General features: G+C 39.8%; 2 annotated features.

Moving 5' to 3' along the window:
- Positions 17592-18142: an enhancer, noted in NCBI's record as "NANOG-H3K27ac hESC enhancer chr4:99669157-99669707 (GRCh37/hg19 assembly coordinates)". NCBI's record gives its function as "activates a minimal SCP1, AML or CMV promoter by ChIP-STARR-seq in primed H9 embryonic stem cells {active_cell/tissue: H9 hESC(primed)}" and the evidence as "EXISTENCE:reporter gene assay evidence [ECO:0000049][PMID:30033119]".
- Positions 18143-18693: an enhancer, noted in NCBI's record as "NANOG-H3K27ac hESC enhancer chr4:99668606-99669156 (GRCh37/hg19 assembly coordinates)". NCBI's record gives its function as "activates a minimal SCP1, AML or CMV promoter by ChIP-STARR-seq in primed H9 embryonic stem cells {active_cell/tissue: H9 hESC(primed)}" and the evidence as "EXISTENCE:reporter gene assay evidence [ECO:0000049][PMID:30033119]".

Here is a 22521-nt window from a genome sequence, read left to right as displayed (position 1 = left end):
AGATTTTAAGTGTACTGTTCAAGTGGTTTTGACAAGTGTATTAAGAAGCAGAACAGTTCTATAAAATAAGTTTTAAATTGCAATTATAATAATTTAATATAACGATGGCTTTTGGATCATTTAACACCTATTTGGGCATATATTTTGATCTCTTAAACAGCATATTAGACATAGCTGAAGAGAGAATTACTGAACTAGAAGATAGATTTGAAAAAAATTACATAGGATATAGCATATATGCAAAGAAAAGAAACAGATAATATAAAAGACAAACTAAAAGATATAGAGGTTGTGTATTCAGAATATACTCAGGACTCTTACAACTCAATAATAAAAAGAATAACTCAATTTTAAAATGGGCAAGGGATTTAAACAGATATTTTCCCAAGAGACATACAAACGGCCAATAGGTGGGATTTGAACAGACATTTTTCCAAAAGAGATACACAACTGGCCAAAAACCTACATGAAAACATGTTCAACATTATTTAGTCATTAGAGAAATATACATTATACTCATAATAAGATACAACTCACTCTCCCACCACCACACACTAGGATGGCTATAATAAAAAAAAAAGTAGAAACAATAAGCATTAAGGAAGATGTAAGAATCTGGAACCCTCATACATTGCTGGTGGGAATGAAAATGATGTACTACAGTGAAAAAGAGTTTGACAGTTCCTCAAAAAGCTAAACATAGAGTTACCATAAACTCTTTATATAAACTTCTAGGTATATATCCAGGAAAAGTGAAAATATAAGTGCTCAAAAAAAAGTATACATGACAGTTTATAGTGGCATTATACATAATAGCAAAAAGTAGAAACAACCTAAGTGTCCATCACTGATAAATGGATAAACAAGATGTCACGTATCCACACAATGGAATATTATTCAGACATGAAAAGGAATGAAGTGCTGATACATGCTACAATATGGGTAAACCTCAAAAATATACTAAGTGAAAGAATACAATCACAAAAGATCACATATTACATGGTTCCATTTATAGAAAATATTCAGAATAGGCAAAGCTATAGAGTTAGAAAGTAGATTAGTGGCTGCCTAGAGCTGTACTAGGGGTAGGGAGTAAGGAGGAAAGGAGAATGACTGCCAATGAGTACAGGATTTCTTTTTGGGGTAATACAAATGTTCTATAATTAGATTGTGATGATAGTTGTACAACTCTGTGAATATATTTTTAAAAATCACCAAATTGTGATGGATGGAATGGATGGGTGGGTGGAATTTATATATTTCAATAAAACTGTTTTAAAAATATGACAGACAAGATTTAAAAAAAAAAAAGGAAATGATCACTTTCCTCACGCAATGTAAGAAACCATATCTTAGTTAAAATCCCCAAATTGCAAACAATAAAGGAAATGATTAATAAAATTAACTACACTGATAAATCTAACCGCCCTAAATTAAGATCTTCTGCTTATTGAAAGACATCTTAAAGAAAGTAAAAAGACGTGTCTGTTCATGTCCTTCGCCCACTTTTTGATGGGGTTGTTTGTTTTTTTCGTGTAAATTTGTTTGAGTTCATTGTAGATTCTGGATATTAGCCTTTTGTCAGATGAGTAGGTTGCGAAAATTTTCTCCCATTTTGTAGGTTGCCTGTTCACTCTGATGGTAGTTTCTTTTGCTGTGCAGAAGCTCTTTAGTTTAATGAGATCCCATTTGTCAATTTTGTCTTTTGTTGCCATTGCTTTTGGTGTTTCAGACATGAAGTCCTTGCCCATGCCTATGTCCTGAATGGTAATGCCTAGGTTTTCTTCTAGGGTTTTTATGGTTTTAGATCTAACATTTAAATCTTTAATCCATCTTGAATTGATTTTTGTATAAGGTGTAAGGAAGGGATCCAGTTTCAGCTTTCTACATATGGCTAGCCAGTTTTCCCAGCACCATTTATTAAATAGGGAATCCTTTCCCCATTGCTTGTTTTTGTCAGGTTTGTCAAAGATCAGATAGTTGTAGATATGTGGTGTTATTTCTGAGGGCTCTGTTCTGTTCCATTGATCTATATCTCTGTTTTGGTACCAGTACCATGCTGTTTTGGTTACTGTAGCCTTGTAGTATAGTTTGAAGTCAGATAGTGTGATGCCTCCAGCTTTGTTCTTTTGGCTTAGGATTGACTTGGCGATGCGGGCTCTTTTTTGGTTCCATATGAACTTGAAAGTAGTTTTTTCCAATTCTGTGAAGAAAGGCATTGGTAGCTTGATGGGGATGGCATTGAATCTGTAAATAACCTTGGACAGTATGGCCATTTTCACGATATTGATTCTTCCTACCCATGAGCATGGAATGTTCTTCCATTTGTTTGTATCCTCTTTTATTTCCTTGAGCAGTGGTTTGTAGTTCTCCTTGAAGAGGTCCTTCACATCCCTTGTAGGTTGGATTCCTAGGTATTTTATTCTCTTTGAAGCAATTGTGAATGGGAGTTCACTCATGATTTGGCTCTCTGTTTGTCTGCTGTTGGTGTATAAGAATGCTTGTGATTTTTTTTACATTGATTTTGTATCCTGAGACTTTGCTGAAGTTGCTTATCAGCTTAAGGAGATTTTGGGCTGAGATGATGGGGTTTTCTAGATATACAATCATGTCGTCTGCAAACAGGGACAATTTGACTTCCTCTTTTCCTAATTGAATACCCTTTATTTCCTTCTCCTGCCTGATTGCCCTGGCCAGAACTTCCAACACTATGTTGAATAGGAGTGGTGAGAGAGGGCATCCCTGTCTTGTGCCAGTTTTCAAAGGGAATGCTTCCAGTTTTTGCCCATTCAGTATGATATTGGCTGTGGGTTTGTCATAGATAGTTCTTATTATTTTGAAATATGTCCCATCAATACCTAATTTATTGAGAGTTTTTAGCATGAAGGGTTGTTGAATTTTGTCAAAGGCCTTTTCTGCATCTATTGAGATAATCATGTGGTTTTTGTCTTTGGTTCTGTTTATATGCTGGATTACATTTATTGATTTGCGTATATTGAACCAGCCTTGCGTCCCAGGGATGAAGCCCACTTGATCATGGTGGATAAGCTTTTTGATGTGCTGCTGGATTCAGTTTGCCAGTATTTTATTGTGGATTTTTGCATCAATGTTCATCAAGGATATTGGTCTAAAATTCTCTTTTTTGGTTGTGTCTCTGCCCGGCTTTGGTATCAGAATGATGCTGGCCTCTTAAAATGAGTTAGGGAGGATTCCCTCTTTTTCTATTGATTGGAATAGTTTCAGAAGGAATGGTACCAGTTCCTCCTTGTACCTCTGGTAGAATTCGGCTGTGAATCCATCTGGTCCTGGACTCTTTTTGGTTGGTAAGCTATTGATTATTGCCACAATTTCAGATCCTGTTATTGGTCTATTCAGAGATTCAACTTCTTCCTGGTTTAGCCTTGGGAGAGTGTATGTGTCGAGGAATTTATCCATTTCTTCTAGATTATCTAGTTTATTTGTGTAGAGGTGTTTGTAGTATTCGCTGATGGTAGTTTGTATTTCTGTGGGATTGGTGGTGATATCCACTTTATCATTTTTTATTGCATCTATTTGATTCTTCTCTCTTTTTTTCTTTATTATGAACAGACACTTCTCAAAAGAAGACATTTATGCAGCCAAAAAACACATGAAAAAATGCTCATCATCACTGGCCATCAGAGAAATGCAAATCAAAACCACAATGAAATACCATCTCACACCAGTTAGAATGGCAATCATTAAAAAGTCAGGAAACAACAGGTGCTGGAGAGGATGTGGAGAAATAGGAACACTTTTACACTGTTGGTGGGACTGTCAACTAGTTCAACCATTGTGGAAGTCAGTGTGGCGATTCCTCAGGGATCTCAAACTAGAAATACCATTTGACCCGGCCATCCCATTACTGGGTATATACCCAAAGGATTATAAATCATGCTGCTATAAAGACATATGCACACGTATGTTTATCACAGCATTATTCACAATAGCAAAGACTTGGAACCAACCCAAATGTCCAACAATGATAGACTGGATTAAGAAAATGTGGCACATATACACCATGGAATACTATGCAGCCATAAAAAATGATGAGTTCATGTCCTTTGTAGGGACATGGATGAAATTGGAAATCATCATTCTCAGTAAACTATCGCAAGAACAAAAAACCAAACACTGCATATTCTCACTCGTAGGCGGGAATTGAACAATGAGAACACATGGACACAGGAAGGGGAACATCACACTCTGGGGACTGTTGTGGGGTGGGGGGAGCGGGGAGGGATAGCATTGGGAGATATACCTAATGCTAGATGGTGAGTTAGTGGGTGCAGCACACCAGCATGGCACATGTATACATATGTTAATTAGAAAAGTAGAATATGGATTCTGAAAATATTGAAGGCCTAGTGGAGGATGATAAAAATAACTGCTTAGTGTAACAAGCCATGGTATTATGTGATTTTCTCCAGCAATATTAAGTAAACCTGTTAGGCTGTTATAAAAAGCAGCCCCCAAGTCTTAGTGGCTTAATGCAATACATTTTATTTTATTTCTTCCTCAAATCTCAGTCTAATGTGAGTGGATGTGGAGTAGGGCAAGGACGCTTGTGAAAAACTTTCAAATTGAAGCTATTGATTATTAATAGATATGCATATATGTGATAAAACTAAAGATAGGCAAGGAAACTGCAAATTTCAGGATAGCAGGATAATCATTACTTTTTGGAGGAGGGAAGACAATTTGATCATGTAGGGATACGCTAGGAGCTGAAGCCATTGGTTTTATTCTGTTTCTTAAGTTGGGTGACACAGGCATTCATTTCATTATTATTTATACTATTTAGATATATTAAACTTATCTGTGTGTGTCTCTGTGTCCAAATTTCCCCCTTTTGTAAGGACACCTGTCATACTGTAGGGCCCATGCTAATAACCTTATTTTAATTTAACTGCCTCTGTAAAGACCCTATCTCCAAATAAGGTCATATTCCGATGTGAGATACTAGGTGTTAGAATTTCAACCTAGCTTTCTTGGGAAGATACAGTTCAACTCAAAACAGATGGTGAGTTTATTTCCAACATCTTTAGCTTGAGATTTCTTTGAGACATTTAAGGAGGCAGTTTGATTTATTAATCTGGAATTTAGAGGAGAGGTGTGAGCACTAGGGGTGTAAAGTTGACAGTAATGAGGGTTCAGGTGATCATTGAGGCCATCAAACTAGGTGAGGTCATTTAAGAACGGAGCATTGGGTAAGAAGAGATGCCTGAGACCTGGACATTTATGAGAGGGATGAGCCCACCACTGACACTGAGAAGGAGAAGCCAAGGAAGCAGGAGAATGCAGTGGGACATAAGCCAAGAAGGGGTCTGTTTCCAGAAGGAAGGAGCAGTCAGTTGTGTAATATGCAACTAAGGTCAGTGAGATGAAGATTGAAAGCAGCTTCTGAATGACTTTAGGGGAGCTGTTGGGTGGGGGGGATAAAGTTGAAGCCAGGTGAGGGTAGGTGGGGTAGTGAGTGGGAGACAAGGAAGTGGCTGAGAGCCTGTGGACTGCTCTTGAAAGGGCTGGCTATGGAAGGGGAAGAGGCACAATGTGCGGGCTGGAGGTCCAGGTTGGGGGATGGGGTGGTCGTATTTGGTTTGTGTCTAAGATGGGAGAGGTTAGATCATGTTTAAATGTTGATAGAAACGATATAGAGGGCCGGGTACGGTGGCTCACGCCTGTAATCCCAGCACTTTGGGAGGCCGAGGTGGGTGGATCGCCTGAGGTCAGGAGTTCGAGACCAGTCTGGCCAACATAGTGAAACCTTGTCTCTACTAAAAATACAAAAAATTAACTGGGCATGGTGGCGGGCACCTGTAATCCCAGTTACTCAGGAGGCTGAGGCAGGAGAATCGCTTGAACCCGGGAGGCGGAAGTTGCAGTGAGTGGAGATCGTGCCATTGCACTCCAGCCTGGGCAACAAGAGTGAAGCGAAACTCTGTCTCCAAAAAAAAAAAAAAAAAAAAGAAAAAGAAAAAGAAAAAAAGAGAAAGAAACTATATAGGGGATTGAAGATATGAAAAAGGAGAACACATTGCTTATGGCTCTGAGAAAACAAAATAGACTTCAGAGTATGGGAAGAAGGAAGCTCTTCTATCTTAAAGGATGAAAAGGACAGAGTGTGGGTACAGATTTAGGTCATGTCTCCCAGGTAGCAGGAAGTTGAGAACATTCTTTTCTCACAACTCCTATTTTCTTGATGTGTAGGAGACAGAGTGACCTGCTGAGAGTGAGTGGCAGGGTCAATGGCTAAAGGACCATGGAGAAGGTTTGAAATCGTCATTATAATGAGTGGAACCATAAGTTAATTAGAAAAGTAGAATATGGATTCTGAAAATATTGAAGGCCTAGTGGAGGATGATAAAAATAACTGCTTAGTGTAACAAGCCATGGTATTATGTGATTTTCTCCAGCAATATTAAGTAAACCTGTTAGGCTGTTATAAAAAGCAGCCCCCAAGTCTTAGTGGCTTAATGCAATACATTTTATTTCTTCCTCAAATCTCAGTCTAATGTGAGTGGATGTGGAGTAGGGCAAGGACGTTCTGCTCCTGACAGCCATTCATGGGCCCGCCCAGGCTCTTTCCATCCAGGGGCTCTGCCCTTTTCTGGAGCTGTAGCGTCTCCCCTAGATCCAGCCAGATGATGGAGGAGAAATCATGCAGAGGGTCTTGAGATGTTTTAGGGACCAAGCCTGGAAGTAGCCTAGATCATTTCTGCCCATATACTATTGGCCAGAATTCAGTGACTTTCTGCTCCCCCTCTCTGCCCAGCTCCAACAAGGGCAGTTCAGAAATGGAGCCTATTGGGGTGCCAAAAAAGAGAAGGCAAATATTGGTAAGCAATTAGCTGTGTCTACCACGGGTGGATATTATTATATTGGAGGAACCTGTGGCTCAGAGAGGCTGTAGTTTGCCTAAAGACATACAGCTGGCAAGCAGCTGGGCTGGCATTTGAATCTAGGTCTTTGACTCCAGCACCTGAGCTCTTACCTACTATGAATGTAAGTAGATACGAACATATCAACTTTTGTTAAGCAGAATAAGAGACACAAATGGCATCGTATGGGGTGCTTACAATTAATCAGAAGGGCTGAGAACTGGCCAGGCATGGTGGTGCATGCCTTTAATCCCAGCATTTTGGGAGGCCAAGGCAGGGGGATGGCCTGAGCTCAGGAGTTTTAGACCAGCCTGGGCAACATGGTAAAACCCTGTCTCTACAAAAATTACAAAAATTAGCTGGGCACGGTGGTGCGCACCTGTAGTCCCAGCTACTCGGCAGGCTGAGGTGGGAGGATTACTTGAGCCCAGGAGTCCGAGGCTGCAGTGAGCCACACTTCAGCCCGGGCAATAGAGCAAGACCCTATCTCAAAAAAAAAGAATGACTGAGAACCAAGATCAGGCATGCAGTGCCCCAATGGGTAGAATTAGTGACCTTTAAAAGAGGACCCAGAAAGGGAGGGCTGCCTCACCTCTACCACCATCTGAGGAAACAACCACAAGCCACCATCTATGAACTGGGAAGTAGGCCCTCACCAGACACTGAATCTGCCTTAATCATGGACTTCTCAGCTTCCAGAACTCTGAGAAATAAATTGCTGTTGTTTATTGAAAAGAAAAAAAAGTGCAGCATAGTGCACTGGATACAGCGAGGACTCCAGAGCTAGGGTGGCCAGGTTTGAATCCCAGTTTAATTGCTCATTAGTTGTGTGTGTTTGGGAAAGTTATCTCTTTGAGCCTCAGTTTTTCTTATCTGTAAAATGGGTTAATAATACTTATCATATAAGTATGCAATTGTTGTATGAGGGTTGTATGAGGATTAAGTGATTTAGCATAGGAATACCTGCTGTGATTATTACCAGATGACTTTTGAGATGGGCATATAAGCATGGGTAGGATTCTGTGGCAGGGGAGGTGTAGGAGTGGAGGAAGCAATATTTTAAAAGGATAGGAATGGGAAAGTGAGGGGTGCTCAGAAAATAACTGATTTTCCAGTTTGGCCGAGGTAGTGGGATGCCCAGCTAAGGGGTGTCTTCCTAATTCCAAAGATAATATGGAACTTTTGAAGGTTTTGAGCAGGTATATGATAAGACTAGGGTTTTATTTTGGGAACTACAACTGGCAGCCATATAGTGTGAATTATAGTGGGAAAGACTGACTCTATACTCACTGAGTAACCTTCTTGATGGAAATTTTTTCTTAAGTAAGCTCTTATACTGGCAAGTAAATGTGTTGAGCAGCTGATAAAATATTCTAGTTTATTTTGCAGTCATATTTCTCAGGATAAATAATATAATCTCATGGTTTATAAATCAGTCTATCCATCCATCCATCCATCCATCCATCCATCCATCCATCCATTGATTGAGTTGCTTATTACCTTAAAATGCACCTCCTTCTACCTGGATGTAAGAATTTTAAACATATGCAAATATAGCAGTTAAATAAATAATAAATGAAAATTAAAAATGATATGGAAGAAATGAAAAGGTAATTATCTAGGATAAAGATCTAGAATAAAATGATAAATCCAACTGATCATCATTAGCTCTAGCATCCTGAAAGTCCAGGCATAAAGGAAATCTGAATTGTGCAGTTCTTATTGACAAATAAAAGAAAATGTATTTTTAAAGACATCAGTTTTTTCTCTCTGGAGTCAAATAGAAAATTAGCATATACTTTCTAGTGATGTTCAGTTTTTTAGACAATGAAAAATCAATCTTCATATAGTCATTTCTTTTTTTCTTTATTTTTTAAAAGTCTTTTGAGATAGGGTCTCACTCTGTTCCCCAGATTGGATTGCAGAAGCATGATCACAGCTCACTGCAGCCTTGATTTCCTGGGCTCAATTGATCCTCTCATCTCAGCCTCCCAAGTAGCTGGGATTATAGACGCATGCCACCATGCCCTGCTAAATTTTGTATTTTTGTATTTTTCTTTTTCTTTTTTGGTAGAGACAGGTTTTTGCCATGTTCCCCAGGCTGGTCTTGAACTCCTGGGCTCAAGTAATCCTCCTGCCTCGGCCTCCCAAGGTGTTGGGATTATAGGCATGAGCCACCATGCCAAGCCCATATAGTCATTTCTAACGACTAGCTGTCATGAGCAGTCCCTCAGAGCCCAGTAATTTCTCTGAATTTGTAGAGGAGATTTTCTGAATCTACAAAACCAAAGGCTTGTAAAGAATAACCATGGATGGCTGGGTGTGGTGGCTCAGGCCTGTAATCCCAGCACTTTGGGAGGCTGAGGCAGGCAGATCATTTGAGGCCAGTAGTTCAACACCGGCCTGGCCAACATGGTGTAACCCTGTCTCTACTAAAAATACAAAACAATTAGCTGGGCGTAGTGGCACACGCATGTAATCCCAGCTACTTTAGAGGCTGAGGGAGGAGAGTTGCTTGAACCCGGGAGGTGGAGGTTGCAGTAGCCGAGATGAGGCCACTGCACTCCAGCCTGGGTGACAGAGTAAGAGTCTGTCACCAAAAAAAAAAAAAAAAAAAAGAAGAAGAAATGGAATAACCATGGGTGTTTTGTCCTAAACACATAGATCAAAGGCATAGTAGCAATGAGAGGGCTATGTTTTGTCTGTCACAGAGGATGAAGTCCAGGAGGTATTCTTACCACAGAAATAGTCTAGCTAACTTTTTATTAGAAAAGTAGGTGATTTCAACCTACTTTTAAATATGACATATTTTAACATATAGAAAAGCACAGAAAGTAATAATGAACATCCATGTTTCCACTATCAATAATTCATATTCCCGTATTTTCATATTTGAATGTGTTTTTTTTTTCAAGAAAAGCTTGAGAGAGAGAGAGTGAAAGCCTCTTTTTCACTTCATCTGATTCCAGCTGTCTCCTTTTTCACTAGATGTCTTTCTTGTTTTACTGCAGACGTATGTATACATAAACAATATATGATATTAATTTGTATGAATTAGAACTTCACATAAATGGTGTCAAACTATAGGAATTATTCTGCAACATTTTCATCCACTATTATGTATTTGAGATTTATTCATCAATATCTACATATAGATGTAGTTCATTCACTATTCTATTATGAAAAAATATATATATTTCTGTTCTCCTATTAATGTATATATGAGTTGCTTCCAATTGTTCATTACTACAAATAATGCTGCACTATTATTATGTATAAGGAGCATCCTTATACGCATCTCCTTGAGCACGTGTGCAAGAGATTCTCTTAGGAATATATTCAGAAATGAAATTGCAGAATCTTGAGGTATGAATATTTAAAATTCTATTAGATATTATCTAACTGCTCTCTGAACTGGTTGAACTAATATATACTACCACCAGCAGAATATTAGAGATCTTGTTTTATTCTAGCTCCTGTTTTAAAGTAAAAGCCTTCTTTTCTTAAAAAAAAAAATTGCCATACTTTTTTTTTAAATAAAAATAATGTGTGAATTGGTAGCTCAATGTTTTGATTTCCAGGACCATTGATGAAGAATTTTGTCTTTTCAAACATTTATTGAGCATCAGGTATGCTCTTCTGGGAAATGCATGAACAAATCCTTTACCCATTTTTTACATCTGGTTATTTGATTTTTCCCTTATATGTCTGAGTGCCATATATGGTCTTCCTATCATCTAGTTTTGGATTACATGAGTTTTAAATACGTACTTCTCTCTGAGACTTTAAAAAAATATTGGTGGTGTCTTTGCCCTATAGAAGTTTTAAATGTACCAACCTGAAATCTGATATAAGACTAAACTCACCAAAATGATGCCTATATTCCACTTTTTGTTAGATAAACAGAATCCTACTTTTGTTATTTCATTATTTGTTTTAGAATAGGCTAAAGTTTGGGAGAACTCATTAGGATGGGTGGCAAAAGAAATGAGCCAGGCTTCAGGAATATCTCACACACAGCAGCCTGGGGAAGGGACCTCCTGCAGCTAAAGCAAAGGAGATCTCAAGTTCTTTGTTACCGGCAGGAAAAGAAATTGTCCAAAAATGTACACTCAGGCATAGGAGAAAACCTGAAACTGTCTTCAAATTATTTCATGTTCTAGAGAACATTAAAAAAAATTGTTTCTTTGAAGGCATATGGACTAGATAAGGAGGGCATAAATTTCATTTTTTTCCATGAACTTGTATTTCCTTTTTCTCAATGACAGGATGTACCATAGGGCCATGGTGTGTTATGTCCTCTCCCGACAGTGCCCCCACTCTGTTTAACTTCCCTTGACTAATATCCCTGAATCCACCACTCTAAAAAACTTTCCATCTTTTCCCAATAACAACCAGTTAGATGTTTTGATAGAAAAAAAAATTATTCCAATAATAAAAATTACAAAACTCCCAGGAATAGATTTAGAAAGAAATGTCCAGATGAGCTCTATTGAGGAACATAAAAGATTTTAATTACGGTAGAGAAATGCTGTTGTCCTGGATGAGAACAGTCATTATTGAAAAGATGTCCATTTTCCAAAATTAATAAAATGCCTAAGATAATTGCCAATAAGAATTCTAAAGCATCTTGGCAAAATAATTCAAAATTTATCCAAAGAATAAACTGAATAGTCAGAAAACTTCTAAAAACATGAGTAGGCCAGGCGCAATGGCTCCCACCAATAATCTCAACCTTTCGGGGGCCAAGGTGGGAAGATTGCTTGAGCCCAGGAGTTCAATACTGGCCTGAGCAACATAGCAAGACCCCATCTCTACAAAAGTAAATAAATAAATAAAATAAAACCAAGAGTAATAAATTATAACAGCCTTGCTAGATTTTTTTAATGTGCAAAATTGGACCAAAACACAAAGTTCAAAAGCACATACAAGAAATTATTAAATGATGAATATGACTTTAAAAATCAGTTTCAAAGGGATGGACAATATATGTTGTGAATAATTATCTAACCAATGTAAAGTTAGATCACTACTTTACAGAGTATGCCAGAATAGATTCCATATAAATTAAGGGATTAATTTTAAAAATGAAATCTAAAGGCCGGGCACGGTGGTTCACGCCTGTAATCCCACCACTTTGGGAGGCCAAGGCAGGCAGATGACGAGGTCAGGAGATTGAGATCATCCTGGCCAACATGGTGAAACCCCCTCTCTACTAAAAATACAAAAACAACATTAGCTGGGCGTGGTGGCGGGCGCCTGTAGTCCCAGCTACTTGAGAGGCTGAGGCAGGAGAATGGCATGAACCCAGGAGATGCAGCATGCAGTGAGCCAAGATCGCACCACTGCACTCCAGCCTGGGTGACAGAGCAAGACTCCATCTCAAGAAAAAAAAAAAAGAAATCTAAAATTATCAAAAGAATTTGGATTTTGATATTTATATATCCTTAAGAGGGCAGATGGCCTTCCTAAGAAAAACCAGAGAATATAATAGAAAAAAGTTAATAGAAATAATTACAAAGGTTCTTATTGGTCATGATGATGATGATGATGGTGGTGATGAGAAATACAGTTAAAAGAAAAATTACAATCTTTATCTTTAATATGCAGATAAGTCTTATGCCTAAAAGGACACATACTGAACAGCTGAAAAAATAGTCATGTAGAGAGAGGAAGGAAAAACATTCACTTCTTACTTTGCACATTTTTTAAAAAACAAGAAAATATGGTAAGATTATTGGCAATTTTTACCCTTTTCCTCCTGTATTTTCCAGGTTTTAATTTTTTGAATAATAAGCATGTGCTATTTTGTTTATCAGGCAAAAACTGCATGCTTTTAAAAGTACCTTTAAGGCCTTACAGTAAGCTAAAGGCTTACGTAACTGTAAGAAAGAAACACTTTTAAAAATTAATTTTAAAAAGACAATCATCCCAAATGAAAAATAAGCAAAGGACATGACTATGAGAAAGCAGTTCATAAAAGAAGTAAAAATGACCTATGGGCATAACAAAATATATTTCACGAGTAATCAAAGCAATACAAATTAAAATAATCATGAGATATCACAGTGGTCTGTGAAACTGGCAAAGATTAAAGAGAAAGAGAAATAATATTCAGAGCTGGTAGAGGTTTGAGGAAACTGCTAAGTAGCGGTAGTGGGAATACAAATTGCTACAATAAGGCAGTTTGACAAATATATTACATCTTAAAATGTGCTATCTTTTGACTCCAAAATTTTGTCTTTAACAATTTTTCCTAAAAAAAAATATCAAACAAGAACACAAAGACTATCAAAGTGTTATTTGTAATAGTGAAAACTGGAAAATGACTAAATGTTCATCAATAAGGGAGAGGTTAGCCTGGGTAAGGTGGCTTACACCTGTAATCTCAGCACTTTGGGAGGTCAAGGTGGGAAGATCACTTGAGGTCAGGAGTTCGAGTCCAGCCTGTGCAAGAAAGTGAAACCCTGTCTCTGCAAAAATAAATAAATAAATTAGCCAAGCATGCTGGTGTGGGCCTGTAGTCCCAGCTACTAGGGAAGCTGAGGCAGGAGGACCACTTGAGCCTGGGAGTTTGAGGCTGTAGCAAACTGTGATTGCACCACTGCAGTCAAGCCTGGGTGATAGAGCAAGACCCTGTCTCTGAAACATGAAAATAAAATAAAATAAAAAATACGGGAGAGTTTAAGTAAACAGTGATACCACTATAGAAATAGACTACTGTACAGACCTTAAATAATTATTTAGAATTATATTTATGCAACTGGAAATATGTCCACAGAAGAGTGGGAAATACTGGTTATAAAACAGAATTTATAACAATCACATTTTAAAAGTATGTGTGTGCACGTGTCTGCGTGTATGTGTGTGTATATGTGTGTGTGTATACAAAAGCAGAGAAAAAACTCTGGAAAGGAATGTCTTTCTCCTGCCCCACTCAATTTTTAAGGGAGCTTTTCTGGATGGTATACAGGTGATCTTCGAGTGGGTTTTCTTTATAATTCCTTTATTTGATCAAAAAGTTTTTAGTAAGCATACATTAGTTTATACTCAGAAAAAAAAATAGTGCTAAAAAAACCCCCACCATCTCATAAGCACATCACACCCTCTGGGGCATCCCAGATTCTACCCTGTTTGCTGTACATGTATTTAACTGTGAAGCATTATGGGTTCTATTCAGACAGACCTGTGATAGAATCCAAGCCCCAACTCATGAGATGGATGACTTTGGTTAAGGCTTAATTTCTCTAATGTTCAATTTACGTGGTTTAGGGATATGAAAACTATTTCAGAAGGTTATTAGAGGAGGCAATAAGGTGCTGAAAACATATGGGCTGCCCCTAACTTCTGTGAGGCCCAGGGGAGTATATAAATGATAGTCCTCATCTCATATGTTAAATGGAATATACTATTACTCTTCATAGGTATACCTTCATATATTAAGTAATCTTCATAGTGACAAAATTGAAAATTTTGGGTAAAGCTATGTTTTTTATGTACTTGAAAGGTGGCAAAATATCAACAGCTACTGAATTAAATTATTACTGCACATGTGTAGATGTTCTGATGATGAGTTGGTCATGTTCATATGACCAGAAAAAGAAAAATACATGTAATTAGTAAGTAATCAGACATTTATTGTCTAAAATTTAGTTTTCATGTCTTCATGCTTATTTCTGCAGGCGGTTACTACCTCATCTTGTTGCTATAATGAAGAATTTTACCTGATTTATGTTCTATTGAGAGTAAATATCTGAAGGATTAAAATGTAATTTTATTCAAAGTATACATAATTTGCATGTACCTTTCATTTTAAAAGTACAAGTGGAAATATTAAAATTTTGAATTGTTTTTATTTGTATCTTAAAAAGTTATTTTTCTCCTAAGATATTTTAAAGTATACATTAAATTAAAAGGCAAATACAAATTATAACAAATGACTAACAATTTTTAAAAAATAATTTCAACTTTTATTTTAGATTTGGGGTACATGTGCAGGTTTGTTATGTGGGTATATTGTGTAATGTGGAGGTTTGAGGTAGTTCCATCACCCAGGAAGTGAGCATGGTACCCAGTAGTTTTTCAACCCTTGCTCTCCTCCTTCCCTCCCACTCCTAGTAGTTACCACTGTCTATTGTTGCCATCTTTATGTCCATGAGTACCCAATGTTTATCTCTCATTTATAAGTGAGAACATGTAATATTTGGTTTTCTGTTCCTGAGTTAATTTGCTTAGGATAATAGCCTCCAGCTGCATCAGTATTGCTGCAAAAGACATGATTTTGTTCTTCTTTATGGCTGAGTAGTATTTCACGGTATATACATACCACATTTTCTTTATCCAATCCACCATTGATAGGCACCTGGGTTGATTCCACGTCTTTGCCATTGTTTGCAGTACGATGATGAACATACAACTATATGTGTATTTTTGGTAGAACGATTTACTTTCTTTTGGGTAATGGGATTACTGGGTTGAATGGCAGCTCCAAGTTCTTTGAGAAATCTCCAAACTGCTTTCCACAGTGGCTGAAGTAATTCACATTCCTACTAACAGTGTTCAAGTGTTTTTCTCCAAAGCCTCACCAGCATCTGGTGTTTTTTGGCTTTTTAATAATAGCCATTCTGACTGGTGTGAGATGGTATCTCACTGTGGTTTTGATTTGCATTTCTCTGATGATTAGTGATGCTGAGCACTTTTTTATATGTTTGTTGGCTGCTTGTATGTCTTCTTTTGAGAAGTATCTGTTCATAAAATGACTAACATTTTTAAAAATCAAATTTATTTAAATATGTCTAGATTTTCAATTTTTTAATACATGTAATCAAATCATATTAAATACTTTTATTAAAAATGACATCATTGCCAGGCATGGTGGCTCACGCCTGTAATCCCAGCACTTTGGGAGGCCGAGGTGGGCAGATCACCTGAGGTCAGGAGTTTGAGACCAGCCTGGACAACATGGTGAAACCCTATCTCTACTAAAAATACAAAAATTAGCCAGGCATGGTGGTGGGCACCTGTAATCCCAGCTACTCAGGAGGCTGAGGCAGGAGAATCGCTTGAACCCGGGAGGTGGAGGTTACAGTGAGCTGAGATCACGCCACTTTACTCCACCCTGGGTGACAGAGCAAGACTCCGTCTCAAAAAAAATAAAAAGGATGTAATTTGCAGTTCTAGTGCTTAATGTCTATCAAGCTGCCAATACAGAGAATTGGTATCGTACTTTGAGCAGGCATTCTAAAAACTTTTGGTTTCATGATTCCTTTAAACTACAAAAATTACTGAGAACTCCAAATAGCCTTTGTTTACATGGAATACTTTATCGATATTTATATCTTAGAATTAATACTGGGAAGTTCCTAAAACACAAGAATACATTAATATAGACACCATTAGCTATCAGAGCAATAATGGCATAATGTGTCTTACAGCCTCTAGAAAACTCCACTGTACACCTATGAAACCATGAGAAAAAAAAGGCAAATACTGTCCTAAGAAAAAACAGTTCGATCTCACAGACCCTAAAAGGCTCTGGGGACTTGAGGAGTCCCTAGAACCACCAACCTAGAACCACATGCTACACATTTAAGAACAATATACATTGTTTAATACTGCAACATGACCTTTGTCCTCATGTGCCACTGTTGCAAATACTGTGCTAATCTGTGAATACTTTTGCATCCACCAAATGGAATCTGAAAAGAAGCAAGAAAGTGGGCACTCACCACTACTACTAAATGATACTTCATTATGCAAGAATCTACTGCATTAGAGCTACCTAACAGATGGCTCTGACAAGTTAATTTGTCTTTTCTCTTACTTAAGTACTTCCTCCACTTTCCCTAGGGACCCTGAGTGGTATTAGTTCCCAGAGCTGTGCCAGCTCTCATCATCATATTCCAAATGCTACTTTCTGGGTCTTCTCAGCCCCAGCCAGTAACTTTCCAGTATCTTCTAATTGGAAATTCAGTTATATTCCCCCTTCCTCAGGGTTTTCTTCCTCCCCTTTTTGTGGTGTCTATCCTAAACTCCTGGAGGCTTATGGAAAATCCCACTGAAGCCACCAGAGGAGGAAAATGGGTCCACTCTGGTCTCCTATCACAGCCCCCACCCCATCCCACGTCACCTGGACCAGCCTTGTTCTTGGTGCGCACAGCCCATGGTGCTTACTCCTACAGATGGTGAGAGCCCATCTTCATATGAGTGTCCATTCTGCTCCCACTTAGCACCACGGAGCTGAGGATGCCTCCAAGACTGCAGCCGCAACTTTCTCCCATCACTGACACAAGTCTCGTAATCCAGGTCTCCTACTTCTTGGATCTTCACTTTGACCCAAGCAATCCTGGAGCAGCACTGCTCCTCTCTTTCTCTCTCAGTTACCTGCAAAATCTTCTGGGGCACTTGGAAGCCACTAGGAACATGGGGTCAGCTATTGGCCCTCTGGTGGTTAGATCTTCCATACCATTTTCCTGTTGGCCTTCTCCAAACAGACATCAAATATCCAGATGAAGAACAGGACATGAGTTCTCTCTGCCTTGGATCTCTTCATGTTTCATGGGGCATCTGGTCACTCTTCCCCCAGGATGTATTCCAGGGTATAGAAGCACAGTACAGGGACTTCATGCTATAATTTATAATTTTCCTTGACTGCAAACTCTTTTCCCTCTCTCTGGCTCAAAGCTCTTTATTGGTCATGATGGCAGAGCAGATGAGGTACCTGCTCTGTATATTCACATACCCCCTGTAATCTCTCCAGTTTTATGCCAGAGCCCTTAGTGTTTTCCCTAAAAAGCTAAGGTTGTTTTTTTCTTTGCATCTCTACTCTTTCTATCCAGTCTCCACTGGAGCAAATGTAAGCACCATGTCTCTGGGCCTGATGAGAGTGGTCAAGGGGATGAACATCGGCTACCACATTACTATCTGCTGCCTACACTTTACTCACTAGATTTTGTGCTCTTTCCGCCTTTTTTTTTTGTGGTAAACATAATATGTTTTCAGCTGATTATTGCTTATTCATGAACATAGATCCTTTGTGGTTTGCAATACAGTCATTAAGATCGTTGTACTGTTCGGCTCCCTTGCAGTCACAGGAATGAATTTCATGCTGAAATAGGACCATGAGCCCAAGTGCTGGCTGAGGCCCACTGGGCTGGGCCTTCTGGCTTGCCACTTAAAAAAGGCTTGCTATGGCAAGGGTTTTAAGCTACCCGCCTGGTCTCCCCACAGTCCTTCCCTACTTCCTTGTTCTAGTCACTTTACAATTGCTCCCTCCGGAGCTTGGCTACTTTCCCTAAGGCTTTTTCAAAGGGCCTCTTATGTGCACATCCTCCTATCTTTTCACGCTGAGGATTACTTCAAAGGCTCAGCAGCCATGGGAAGGGAAGAATGACAATAAAATAAATCCCAACTGCAGAAAGGTTTGCTTTGGCAACTGCTTGATTGTTCTGTAGGTGGGGAGGTGCCTGCTCTGACCTCTGCAGCTCACTGGTCCTCACAGCTCATTACAGATGTTTTCCTTTGGTCTGGTTTCTTACTGTCCCTTCTGAGGCTCTGAGCCCCTACTTCTAGCAGGCTTATGTAAATTTCCCCAGGCCTCAGCTGCTCCTTCTTCCATTGATCCCTTTATCTGTTGCCAAGACTGATTCTCCTAATCTTGCTCTGAGCCTCCGTGTTTCCACTCAGGAGGGGAAAGTCTCAAACACTCTGAAGGTGGGGCACTCTGCTATTTTGCGCTGCAATTTATTTCAAGGTCACTGGGCAGGACTAGAGTGAGTGACCGGAAGACTGGCCTATCAGAGAACCGGCCTATCAGAGAGCCTGCCCATCCAGAGTGCTCAGAAAACACTTGTGGGCCTCAGTCTAAATCCTGAAACCCTACCTCCAGTATTGTTGCTTTGTGCAGGGGTTGCCAATTAAAAATAAAAAATAAAACGTTGTGTGAACCAAACCAATCACTGGCTGAATTCACCTGACTGATCCCCAGTTTAGGACCCTGGAAGACTTGCCTGAACTGGGAATCCTTAATTCTTTTTAAATAATGAGGGCCTTCTCTTGTAGTGTTTTTTTGCTTTTGAAAAAGCCTGAGTCATAAAGTCCAGGAATCTGGCCCCACAGCTGCCAGGATAAATGTCTGCTTAGACATCCACGGGGATGTCTGTCCTTCAGTTGAACATGGAGGTCTGGCTAAGTGAAATATTAAATCCTTCTCTTGACGAAATAGGGCCCAGAAAGCCTCCTTCTTTCGTTGCAGACCAGGCAGGTCCCTACTGACTGGATGGCTCTTTTGCTGCTACTACTATCAAGTGAATCCAGTGGATAGGGAGGTGAAAAGGCAGGACACCCATTGATCTTTTTGGTTCTTTCCAGAGGTTCCATATCCTTGGCTTGCCTCTCATGGCTGCTGCCTTTCCCTTCCCCACTGACTCACCCACACCATGAAATGTCAGTGCAGCTGGACAAACACAGAGTGCCCAAGTTAAAGCACTAAAGACCTTTCCTGGGGCCTCAAGCATGTTGATGATGAGAGATTGTTTCTTAAAAGAAAACAGTCCCACAGAGCCTATGCCACCTGCTATCAGACACTTCCTGCCTGTGTGATATAATTTGAGAGTTGGGCTGGGCACGGTGACTCATGCCTATAATCCCAACACTTTGGGAGGCTGAGGTAGGAGGATCATTTCAGCCCAGGAGACCAGCCTAGGTAACAAAGCAAGACCCTGTCTCTACCAAAAAAAAAAAAAAAAAAAAAATTAGCCAGGCACAGTGGCAGGTGGCAGGAGGTTGAGGAGGAAGGATTGCGGGAGCCCAGTAGTTTGAGGTACCTGTGAGCCATAATGGTGCCATTGCACTCCAGCCTGGGTGACAGAACAATACCCCAACTTGAAAAAGAAACAAAATTTAAAAAATTGAAAGCAATCTTTTATGATGCATTCTCTAAATTGCTCTGAATTCTTTAGGAGGTAAATTATTTTAGTTTTGTGTTTTGTTTGCACTAAGCTAACTTAAAAAGTACTAGGACAACAAATGACCCATGTGAAATTCTGTCCATGCAATATTAGATCAAGACATGGACTAATATGGCAATTTCCAGGAGTCCTGATCGTGTGTGTGCATGCGTGCACGCAAGCGCACTAAGAACTCATTGGAAATATAATGAGAGGTGAAAATTACACTCACCAAATTCCTTTCAGGGAAAGTACTGCATGTGGTTCAAAGAAATAAAGCTCTTATACAGCCACTTGGATTGAGAATTAGAACCTCTAAGAGGCACCCTTGAATAAAAATAGTTGGTCAACTAACTACGGTCTAAGGAAGATGAGTGCAATTAACACTAAGCTTTTGTTTCCCTTAGTGAGGTGCAGCCAAGGCAGGATTGCTGGGTCAACAGAGGAGATGCTGAGTCCTGGCATCCATGTCCTCCTGCTCCACCCATCTGCCCGAACATTTTGTCATCTCCCGCAAACATTAAGCTGAAAATCCTAGAATATTTTTAAAATATTAATTTGAAACAGTGTCAAAATGTTAGCTTGCCAAGGAGCTCGCACATGTTGGCTGAGACCCTGGACCTCAGGAGTCTGACCTCTTGGAGATTTGACTGGTTAATATCATGGAGGCAGCACTGCTCATCTGGAGAGTTTTTAAAACTAGGTGATTTGAGTGTGTCCTGGTTCCAGAGCGCCCTCTTGGGGAGTGGATAGTAGATTGGGAGATCTCAGAGAACATATGCTTTAGGGATAAAAGAGGAAACAGGACATATGTGCAGTTACTCAGTCAATCTTTACAGGTCATTGCATCTAATGGTACTAAACACCCTAGTTCTATTACCCCCGGTGTAAAAGTAGGTAGCTGGGCAGACATGAGCAGGGTAGGAGAGGTCCCCACAAGGAATGTCAGGTGACCATCAGGTGATGCTCAAGTTGTTGTTAACTGTCACTCTAAAATAATAATTGGACACAGCTGGCACCAGAGAAAGGCAGGCTCCCATTAGATAGAAAACACCTGAAGTGGGTGATCAGCGGCTTCCTGATAAGATCTCAGGAGCTGAGTAAGTGGACTCAAGCATGTGCCCTAAAAGGCAAAATGGTGGTGTTTAACTGGTATATGAACTTCTTCTAAGAATATTCGGCTGGTGTATTAGTCTGTTGTCATGCTTCTATGAATTATACCCAAGACTGGGTAATTTATAAACAAAAGGGATTTAAGTGACTCACAGTTCCACATGGCTGGGGAGGCCTCAGGAAACTTACAATCATGCCAGAAGGGGAAGCAAACACATCCTTCTTCACAGGGTAGCAGGAATCAGAAGTGCTGGCAGGGGAAAGCCAGATGCTTATAAAACCATCGGATCTCATGAGAAGTCACTATCATGAGAACAGCATGGGTAACCACCCCCATAATTCAATTACCTCCCACTGGGTCCCTCCCATGACACATGGGGATTATGGGAACAACAATTCAAGATGAGATTTGGGTGGGGACACAGCCAAACCATATGAACTGGTAAGGGAAAAACACCTCAAATGAACATGCACAAAACTTTGGTAAGCACACTGCACATGTAGCCCCTCCTAAGTCCTGGCAGGCCACCACATGCAGACAGCCTGCCCCAAGGAAAAAATCAAGGGAGAGACACAAACCCTGGAACCATGCCAATGTATAAACCTCCAAGTGAAGGGCTGAAAGTGCACTTGGATCTTTCAAGTTGCCTGCTTGGCCCTCTTCCAAGTATACTTTACTTCCTTTGGTTCCTGCTCTAAAACTTGCTTTGGTCTCTCAATCTGCCTTATGCCTCTCCAGTGAATTCTTTCCTCTGAGGAGCCAAGAATCGAGTTGCTGCAAACCCATACGGATTCACTGCTGCTAACACTGGCACCATCTCATTCTCACCAAGACCCATCTGAGATGAGTTGACTCCACATAAAGAGTCTCTGGGCCCCACACCTGAAGCTCCCACCAGTAGGAATTAGGAAGGCAGGTAGCTGTACTATAGGTAAATGGACGAGGTGGAGGAGAAAGGGCCTGCAGAATGAAATGACTTTTCAGAGATTCTGGAGAGGCATCTGGGCCATGGGTAAGGCCATCTGCAGAGAGGCTGAATATGATGGACCTCCTCTGTACCCAGAAGCTATGGTCTGAACATTTGTGTTCTCTCACCCACAATCTATTATTGAAACCTAATCACCAAAGCAATAATATTAAGAGGTGAGGGCTTTAGGAGGTGATTAGGTCATGAGGGCAGAGCCACATGAATGGGATTAGTGCTCTTATAAGAGAGGCTAGAGGGAACTTATTCTGCCCCTTCTGCCACGTGAAGACACAGCTGGAATGCATCATCTATAAGGAAGGGGCCCTCACAGGACACCGAATCCGCTGGAGTCTTGGTCTCAGAATTCTCAGCCTTCAGAACTGTGAGCAATAAGTTTCTACTGTTTATAAATGACTAGTCTAAGGTATTTTTGTTAGAGGAGCCCTAATGGAAGAAGATAGAGCTATTTGGTTGAAGTCTCTTGACCTAGAATGTAGCCATAAAAGAGCCACAAAAATCTCTTTAGGTCAAATTCATGTATTCTGCCCCATGTGGTTTGCCATCCCAAGCACCTAGCTCTACCCTGTAAGTCAT

The sequence above is a fragment of the Homo sapiens genome, chromosome 4, assembly GCF_000001405.40.
Source record: "Homo sapiens chromosome 4, GRCh38.p14 Primary Assembly".
Classification (NCBI taxonomy): domain Eukaryota; kingdom Metazoa; phylum Chordata; class Mammalia; order Primates; family Hominidae; genus Homo; species Homo sapiens.
Note: the sequence above shows the minus strand (reverse complement) of the source record. Positions and strands in the feature narration are given on the sequence as shown.